Source organism: Homo sapiens, chromosome 4 (genome assembly GCF_000001405.40).
Source record: "Homo sapiens chromosome 4, GRCh38.p14 Primary Assembly".
Classification (NCBI taxonomy): Eukaryota; Metazoa; Chordata; class Mammalia; order Primates; family Hominidae; genus Homo; species Homo sapiens.
This window is the reverse complement of record NC_000004.12, coordinates 166,503,287-166,513,863: the sequence shown is the minus strand read 5'-3', so window position 1 is coordinate 166,513,863 and position 10,577 is coordinate 166,503,287. Positions and strand designations below refer to the sequence as shown.

The window sequence follows — 10,577 nt, the reverse complement described above, 5'->3', positions numbered from 1 at the left end:
TAAGTGACACCAAAGCTTCTTTATTGTGACAAATGCTGTCCAACATTGAGAACATGGACATCACAAGACATAGCAGTGGTATCTTCTCCTCTGACATCTAAAAGGATGGTTGTTTTTTCAATTTTCTGATATACAATATGTTGTTATAAACTATAATCACTGTGATATTTAATAGATTTCTTGAACTTATTTCTCCTATCTAACTAAAATTTTGTATACCTTCACCAACATATTCCCAATTCCCCCACCCTCAGCTTCTGGCAACCACTATTCTATTCTCTGCTTCTGTGAGTTTGACTTTAAATTTTCACATATAAATGAGATCACGTGGCATTTGTCTTTTTGTTCCTGTCTTATTTCTCTTAACATATGCCACTCAAGTTCAGCCATGTTGTCACAAATGATAGGATTTTCTTCTGTTTCAAGGCTGAATAGTATTTAATTATATATATATTTTATATATAACATGATATATAAAACCACATTTTCTTTATTCATTCATTTTTTGATGAACACTCAAGTAAACTCCATGTTTTGGTTATTATGAGTAATACTGCAATGAACATGGCAGTACAGATAACTCTTTGACATAGCAATTTCACTTCCTTTGTATATATAACCAGTAGTGGGATTACTAGATTTTGTGGCAGCTCTATTTTTAATTTTCTGACAAATCTCCACGCTATTTTCCATAGGAGCTGTACTAATTTACATTTGCATCAGCTGTGTACAAAGGTTGTCTTTTTTTCCACATCCTCACCAACACTTGTTATCTTTTGTCTTTTTTGTAATAGCCTAATAGGAATGAGCTGATATTTTCTAGTGGTTTTGATTTGCATTTCTCTGATGATTAGTGATGTTGAGCATTTTTCCATATATCTGCCAGTCATTTGTATGTCTTCTTTTGAAAAATGTCTATATGGGTCCTTTATTATTGAGTTTTAATTCCTTAGGTTTTGATAGTTAGAGGAAAGGGAACTTTGTTAAAAAGACCTAAGTTTCCTTGAAATAATCTGGGACAATTTGTCTCATCAGTAAGTAACGCATATATTTACTCTTGTTGGAATAACAATAAACTTCATAAGCAAAGAAGAGTTTACTGGTGTACATACATATCATCTAGCATAATCTTACATCAACCAGAAAGACAAGTATTTTAGTAGCTGTGACAGGAAAAGTCTTCACCTCTTGCTGATTGTGAATCCCTGTTAACACTCTGAACACTTTATTTAAATGAGATTTTTTGTGTTCCTCTCATCCTACTTTCTTGGTGATTGACAGTGATCTATCGCTCACAAAGCAGAAGCTCTGATAGAATAATGAAAAGCTGATCGCTTTCCTCTTCCAACACAGTGTCTTTTCATCTCTTTCTCTAATCTCTGCTTATTGTTCATCTTTCACATTGTCAGTCACTGTGCTGTACAGTTTACAAATACGGGTGTAACAGGGGAGAAAAAATCGTCAATCCAATAATGCGAAGTCTATCAAGTATCTGCCTGGCTGCAGCTTGAAACTCCTCCTCCAGGCTCCTATAGAAGCCAGATCAGGGCTTAGATAACTGTTTTTCTTTAAAAAAGCAAATGGATTTTCCCTCTTCTCTCTGAAGAGCTACTCTGAGTGACTGAGTGAGATGGCTTATTCAAGGGCTCAATCTTGTTTTGTTGGATAGAGACTGATCAAGTTTTGGAAAGCAATGAAAAGAGAGCCAATGACACCTGGGTTTCTCCTTGTTAGAGAAAACACATGCATCGTCTATAGGAAAAAAAACCCATATAAACACTTGGCTTTCAGACAAATACAGTTTAATGCCTATTACTATGCTTGAAATAAAAATAAACCCATTGCAAAATTTCTTGCAGATTTTGGTTCACAGAGCTGAATAAACTCATTGAAACAATAATAAACTCTCACTGTTTAAAAAATATCTTTCATTTTTGTGATTTATCTACTTGTATCTTAAAAGTAAATTCAATTTTGATGGAAATTAAGTTTAATTGGTTATTCAGAAAACTGAATGTGTTCTTTATGTAGCTATTTTTACTTAAAATTAGACAATGTAATTTTAAATATAGAAATAATGCCCAACATTTTTCATAATTGTTATACCAAGTAAATAAGGAAACAGAGGAATGTGACCTTACCCAGAGCCTAGCAATTTATGGGTCTTCAATTAATAGTGGCTATTGTAATTATGATTTTCTTCTTGTTATATTAAAAATTCAAAGATATGAAGAAATTTACTAAGGAGTAACTAAAATTGGAAAATATAATGCATTACACTTAGTTTGAATCAAAAGCACACTTCATAAGACCTGATTGAAACTGATCTGTCATCACCATATTCAGTGTGATAAAGCTATTGCACACTGTATTCTGAACTGATCTGACTTCATGTGAGATATTGTGTAGTATTCTGGGTAGACTTTCTTTAGACTCACACACAGAATGTTCTCCCACCTACATATATACAAGAATGTTTTCTAAGTTGGAATATTTGGAAGTCATACCATATAACAAAAACCTAAAATTTATCCTGGAAAAGAAGATTCTTAGCGAGGAAATCTTGATTTTCTTCAAATATTAATTACACCGTGTTCAATGTGATTAGGTATAGTTATTTGAAGTATCAAAGAACAAAATTAGAACCAATAATTGTGATAAGAATTTGTGTTTAATATTAAAGAAAAACATTTTAAATTTAAAGTTAAGGGAGACTCTGCTGCTCGTAAGGTATAAGGTTCTATTTGATCAACCCTCTGGCATAAAACAACTTTAAATTCTACATAAATTATAAAATCAACTATCTGAAGACACTGAAGAGTGAGCAAAAATAGAATGAACCAAAGAAGATAGAACTTATACAGGATTGACTATTGAAAGAAGACAGCATACTAACTAGCCTGGGGCAGACTCTAGACTTCCCAAGCAGAGCTACTCAGATGGAAAACTCACAGTCCTACTGGCTTGAAAAACTAGAAGCTGGGTATGTTAGCCTTCTGTTGTTACCACAACAAATTACCAAAAGCTTAGTGGATTAAAACAATGAAAATGAATCTTATTACAGTTCTTTAGGTTGGAAACTTGACACGATTTCACTGGGCTAACATCAAGGTGAGGGCAGGGCTATGTTTCTTTATTAAAGATCTGGGGGAGGATCCACTTCCTTGCCTTTACCAGTTCTAGAAGCCATTCCTATTCCTTCGCTTATGGATGTGTCCTGTACCTACACAACTAGCAATGGATTAATTCTCTGACCCTTTATTACATCTCTCTCTGACCAAAGCCAAAATGGTTTTCTGGTTTTAAGGATTCATGTGATTAGACTAAGCCTACTCAGAAAATCCAGAATAATCTCTCCATCTCAAGATCCATAACCTTTGTCACATCTTTGAAGTCCCTTTTGCCATGTAAGGTAACATATACAGGTTCTGGGGATCAGGATATAGAGGTCTTAGGTGGGGAAAGTCATTATTCTGCCTACCACAATGGGGACTAGGGAAACTGCAGTTAGTAGAAAATGAGAGAAGTGGAATTCCAGACTGGAAAAAGCCAGACAAGGGTACTGTCAAATTGTACGTATAAGTTTTGTCCAGTTATCTGAAGCACCAGTGCATGACACAGATTCCAAACAGTTCAGCAAAGGCTATGTAAAAGACCTGTGGTAAAATTTAAGCTTCTGTCCACTCTAGGGGAAGAGAGGTTTTTGGTATTAGTGTGGCTAAGCAAACTGTGTGCTTACATTGAAATAATAATAGTAATAATAATTAAAGGTGTCAAATATCTTGAAAAAACCTCCCAGAATGAATTCCTTATCAATGAAATATCCAAATAGACCCTGGCTGGCAGTCTTTAGAAAACATTACATTGTATGGAAGGTTGAGCTACCCAGGATTCAAAGTACTTTCCAAATCTAAATTTTTTTGATCATGATATTTGTTCCATGAGAAATAGGTTTACATTTTTTAAAGGCTATGTCTTTAAAGTTTTGAGGCAGTAAAGTTTAAATCTTTTTGGGATTCCAGGATTCCTAGAGGAATTTAGAAGATTGTTAAACTATTGGATTGGCATGATTACGAATATCTATCAAAAGCCCAAAGTTAGTTCACTAAGTTTAGCTGAAACCCTGAAGAGGAAAAGAAACTATTATTTATTTAATTCATTTTATGTGTCAGAAAATTGACTCCATAATTTTCATATACTAGTCATTTACTTTTCACAAATTCTTTTGAAGAATAAATTATTCTTATTTTCAGAGGAAGATACTGAGGGTAAGAAGTTGAGCAGCCCCCTAGAAGTCACAGATTTGGTAAGTGGTAGACCACTATGGTCATTTAAATGCTAGTTGAGTTACATCATCTGCTGTCCTATTGGGAAACTCACTTGGGGAACTTCTGTTGCCCCAACCTTGAGAACATAATGACAATAAAATAAAATCTTCTAGTATAATAACAATTAAGTGAGAAGTTAGATCATGGCTGAATTGGTGTTGTTTTCTGATATTTGTATATACTGACATAAGAAAAAATACATACTTTAGTTGAAAAGGTAACAGTAGTCTTTAACATTCCTTTCTTTTCTAGCTTATCTTTAAGATTTATTTCTCCTTATAATTCTTGCATATTCTCTTTTTAAAGTTTTCCTCATCATGAAATATTTTACTTATTGTATAACAGTCTTCCATATGCCTGCCATATCTCCAAAAAGTACACTATGATTTTATCTGATGCTTCACTTCTCCTGGTGCCTTTACCCAATTGCTTACAAAGCTTCTGTTCACAGATAGTGGAAAGAGGGAAAACATGGCACACCTATTTCTTAAAAAGAGATGAAATCTTGTGGAAAGTTTGGTAATTTAATTTTGCCATTGAAAGTACCAAGCAATAATTTGATACTGACATTAAAGTAAAGGACAAAGAAGAAAATGGGTTAAAACAAACTATTTTATCTAAAGGGGAGAAATCCAAATGCTAACAATCTTAGTTTTGGGGTACAAATAAAAATCCATCAGTAGGAGGCAAGTAGAAATATATTACCCTTTATCAAAGAAGAAACAGACAAAAACATATTGCTATCCCAGTAGGAACATTTCAATTTAGATATAAGAATACCTCACAAGGTATATGGACTTTTAAAGTTTCCCACAGATTAAGGGTTGCATAATTGCAATATTTGAAAGCTTGGGCAGTAAAATAAAATAAGATTTATAATCTCCAATATCAAGTGTATCTTAATGCTAACCCACAATCTCTCCCATTTTCCTTGGCCAGTTCACTTTCCCAGGGGTTATTTAAAATATCCTTTACTTTTTTAAAACATCAACTCTATATTCCACAGTAAATGACCTCCCACCCAGGCTTCATCGATAATGTTAGATAGCATCTTACTTACTTTTCAATCACAAAATTGGTTAAAACAACATTTCATAGACAAATTTGTCAGAAACATTTATCAAATTTTATTAACTTGCAGCAAAGAAATCAAAATCATGACAAAAATTTTGTCATTTCAGAGAATATGAAAATAGGGTACCATTTCAGAGAGGGTAGGCAACATTTCACTTTTATAAGTGGCTAGTTTTGTTTTTCAGGAAGAAAGTTTTGTTTTAGTTATCTAGTTTAAAAGAATGCATGTATGTGTGTATGAGAAAGAGAGAATATATTTTATATATCCATAAAAGTTATTGAAAAGACTGGTAACATGCTTCAAGATGACATCAATATCTTCTATCAGAATAATAACAGCATATAGAAAAAGCAAACGTTAAAGATATATCTGTATATGAAGTTAGAATTTAAAAGTTTCACACCTTAGCATTAGTGCACAATACAGTCAACTAACAGGAAAACATAAAATGGAATCAGACAGAAAACAGAGGTAGAGGACCAAGCAATAATATAGTTCTAATTTTAAACATGCCATTATTAAAGATTGTTGTAGGCTGCAAAGGTTCAGGATACAAAATATACTCATTTGTTATGCTTGGGACAAAACTTTTTCTTTGACAAATCTGTCAATTTACCTGGCTCTTAGTTTCCCTCTTCCCTGTCATTAAGTGTAGTGGAAGTCAGTTTCCATCTTTTTTAAAAAAGCAAATCCTTCTGCCCTTCCTTGTGACTTACTCTATTCACTATCTCTGAACTCCCTTGGATCTCCGATTGCTTTTCTGTACTGAATTATAATAATCAGTATTTACACATACTCAAAGAACTGTCTTCTGAATCAAATACAGTACACACAATCCTCTAGACTTTGATCCTTCCAACTTTTGGTTTGCTAATCTTTCTCAATTCATAGCCAATGATTGAGATGATTTTTTCTGATCTTACAAATGCAAATACCTTTTCCAATATCACCATTGCTCTTTCTCTTTTGCTAAATTTAATATACACTTATATCTGTATTTGTCTAGCCACCTATATATTTATATATAATTTAACCCTTTTATTACTTAATGATTTATTAGCATTGACAATTCATGCGGTTTGGCTCTGTGTCTCCACCTAAATCTCATTTCGATTTGTAATCTCCATAAGCCCCACATGTCAGGTGAGGATCAGGTGGGAGGTGCTTGGATCATGGGAGCCGTTTCCGTTTCCCCCATGCTGTTCTCATGATAGTAAGTGAGTTCTTAAAAGATCTGATGGTTTTATAAGGGGCTCTTCCCCCTTCATTCTCACACACACTCTCCCACCTAATAACCAAGTTCTCTAACATCATCTACTAAAATCTCTACAGTCTGATCTCTGCTACCATCCCTGCCTCTTTATGGGTCATGGCTTCCTACCCTTGCCCACTCAAGCCACAGTGTCCTATTAAAAATTTCAGGTAGTTGCTATAATCCTTTCTATCACAGAACTGTTTTTCACTTGATATCCCCTCTTTGGGAAATGGTTTTCCTCATCCCTCTATTACCATAACACCAACTCATCATTTAAAACTCAGCTGAAGGATTATTCTTTCCAGATCCTTCCTGGACCTCCCTATTATTCCTCTTATTATGTATGTGTCTCTTCATGGTGCTTTTCGTATTATGATTTTACAAGCCCTTCTGTTATGAGTATTTGATTTCTTTTAATTTTAGTAATAGCTCCATGATTTTTTACCACCTTTATATTCACTGTGTCTGGTGAAGTGCTAAGCATTATAAATAAGTAAATGGATAACTAATATCATTGCTCACCACTGTAAAAATAAACATTTTGGTATTGCATTTTCATGTGTTATGTCCAGTTACATGGTGCAAGTAGATCGGTTCTCTTACAAGTGTTATCAATTCATACCAACTACAAATGTATTATCCATTATAAAAAGCTAAAATTTGAAAGGGAGAGGAAGGATAAAATGTCCGCTATTAAAAACTGAAATAACCACTTTGGTTAAAGTGGATACCAAGATTTATAGTTGATTTTGTCCCCCAGATCAACAGTTATTTCAACATGTTTTAGACACATTCGTAGTTGAAAGCATTTCTTCCTGAAATTTGTAAGAAGACTGCACAAAACACTTGCAGAAACTCTCTCTTACACATTTCAAAGTGAAGGGAGTAAAACTGCCTATAAAACTCCCATTAATGTCAATGAGAATCACTGACAAATTCCCAAGCAATACTTTGAAAACATCTTCATTGTTGCCTTGGGGCTATTGCTAATGCTGTGCACAAATAAGATTTCGCTGTTAAAGAGACAATTGCTTTTATGCTGCTGAGCCTGTAGCTTCATTGATGCTAAACAGAGATGGCAACACAAGAACGCACCATTCTTTTTACTTATCTGAAAGGCATTATTACACTCTTTCTCTTCTGTGTCCTAATTTAAAACAAGCAAAGCAAATCTTTCTCAAAATAAAGGCATAATATGATTAAATTGAGGTGACTTCATTTTTTTCTTTTTTTCCAAATATGTAGACATAAAACTCTATTTAGCCACTCTATTTATGAACCAGTTGCTGAAATTTCCCCTCAGATACATAAAATAATAATGATCAATCAAATTTGATTTACTGTACTACATAAATTATCTTTGATTTTGATCCAAACATTAGATTGCAAAAATTAGAAGACCGAAAAGAAAGAGTATTTTTATGTACTCTCTAGAACTCTGTTCTTTAGTGTGATATTTTAAGGAGACACTTTATACATTGGTCAAAACAAGTTTTCAAATTCTAGACCACAGGTTTTTGAGTACATATGTACAAAGCATTTAAATGAGAAAGAAGCAATTGAAAATGGATCTTCAGGAAAACTTTAAATAGCATGAGTGACTATTGCATTTCACTCTGCCACTTCTTCCATAATTGTTTTCTAGGTTTTCAATTTACCATTGGGAAATGAGGATTTTGAAAATAAGCAGACTTGCCTTTTCTAACTGATTAAATGCAGTGGAACGCAAGAAAGAAGGAATACTCATTAACAGAAATCAATGGAAATCCTCAGTAGCTTCAAAATTGTGTTAGTCTTTTTATTTGTTGAAAGAAGTAATTGTTTTTATATTTGTTAACATTTACATGATTATATTTCAATTTTATTTATTATTATTGTTATTATTATTATTATTTTGAGATGGAGTTTTGCTCTTGTCACCCAGGCTGGAGTGCAATGGTGCGATCTCAGCTCACTGTAACCTCCGCCTCCCTGGTTCACGCGATTCTCCTGCCTCAGACTCCCGAGTAGCTGGGATTACAGGCATCTGCCACCATGCCCAGCTAACTTTTGTATTTTTAGTAGAGACGGGGTTTCACCATGTTGGCCAGGCTGGTCTCGAACCCCTGATCTCAGGTAATCCACCCACCTCAACCTCCCAAAGTGATGGTATTACAGGCACAAGCCACCGTGACCAGCCAAATAATCTAATGTCTTAGTTTGCCATTTGTTCATTCCTATTTGTAGATGGCATCTTATTCTGTAGTGGCCGTTGATTCTGAGAATCTCTATATGTTGAAGCCAAAATATAAAAGAATTCCATTATTTTCTTACTGTGAAAAAATTTTCAAGTTCTGTAGTATTGGCATCTTGAACAGCCCTGACTTGGTTTACACCTCCTTTCCTAAAAATAAATTCCATAACTTGGTGTGTAAATCATGTTGAGAAGAACCTCATTTTCTACATTTTGCTTGTGATTATCAGAAGTTGGCCCAAACCTACAACCCTGGTGGGCCTGAAGGAAAATTTCAGTGGTGGAGTTAGTTTCATTTTAGTACCTGGGGAGAAGAAAGGACAATAACTCACACAGTAAGTCCTAGAGACAGAAAGAAATCCACTCTATTCTTCAGTACAAAGGTAATGGATCGTCAATTCTTCTACAGCAGTTTTCAACATCAGAAAATTTAGTATGTTCTACTTGTTCTTGTCTGCCTCTATTCTAGAGAGTCTGATACCTTTATCTGTAGAGGTTTGAGAGGAACATAAAACCATGAATAAGTAAAGAAACATAAATCACTGAAGGAAGCTCAATAAGCAAAGTATAGAACACTAAATTGATTATGCAACATAGATTTTTCCAAATTGCGAGTATTCAATGAAAGAGGATTACTTCAACAATTAAGTCATGAAATTTCTGTTTGTTCCATGAACTACATTCCATGGACTACGTAATCCAAAAACCCTCTCACTAAAAAATACTTTAAAATACTCGAAAAACTGTTATGTCTTTAAATGTAAGGACGAGTTTAGAAGAAAATAAGATAAATCTGAAGAAATCAACTACAAAGTGATGTCTGTGTGGAATTGTAATTCAGTCTTCTATATAAAACTGGATACATCCTCAGTAACATGTGTTCCAGAAAAATAAATAAATAAATTAGTGTCTTCGAAGAGGTAGATGTAATGGAAATATGTCTTTCTTAACTTGGGATCCTTAACATTTCAGAATCACAGTTATGCCCTCAATCAGTCTGTGATGTAAATGCATGTTATTGAGTAGCTCAGGACTCTACACTGAATAAATAACACATTAGTCCTAAGGCGGAGAGAGCCTTGGACACTTGGCAAAAGCAAATGTCAAACTGATGTGGACAGGTACACCCTCAATCCAGGTCACATAAGATTCAAAAACAGGATGATTTGAAATCAAAATAACAAACTAAAAATAATCTCCCATAAACAAAATGCATCACATATAATGAACTAATCTAAATTTCAGGTAACAGAAAAATTGAAGATTAGAAAATAATATTTATGATGATAAAAACAAAATTGTAAAAATGGAAGATATAAGGAGAGGATGACAGTATTTTTAAAAGAACAGATTTGAAAAATAAAATCTTGATACTAACAACAGCCATTGAAATGATAACATAAGTGGATGGTTTAAATAACAGTTAAGATATGGCAAAGAAAAGAATAAATGTCCCCTAGAACTGATTATTTGCTGAGAATGAAACACAGAGTGTGATCAAAATGGAATAAATGGAAAAGGGATTGAGAGATGGAGAATAGAATAATAATGTCTAGTGTATATGCAATGTAAGTTATAGAAAGAATAAAAACAAAAGGTACAGGCAACTTTCAAAGAAATACTGAGAACATTTTTCAGATCTGACAAAAGACACGGCATTCACAATAGATATCACGACTCCAGAAT

At 33.7% G+C, this 10,577-nt stretch overlaps 1 annotated feature.

Annotated features, from left to right (window-relative positions):
- Positions 9,134 to 9,303: an enhancer, noted in NCBI's record as "experimental_76035 CRE fragment used in MPRA reporter constructs". NCBI's record gives its function as "activates a minimal promoter by MPRAs in K562 erythroleukemia cells, with activity observed for both the introgressed and non-introgressed 4:167425798 variant alleles {active_cell/tissue: K562}" and the evidence as "EXISTENCE:reporter gene assay evidence [ECO:0000049][PMID:34662402]".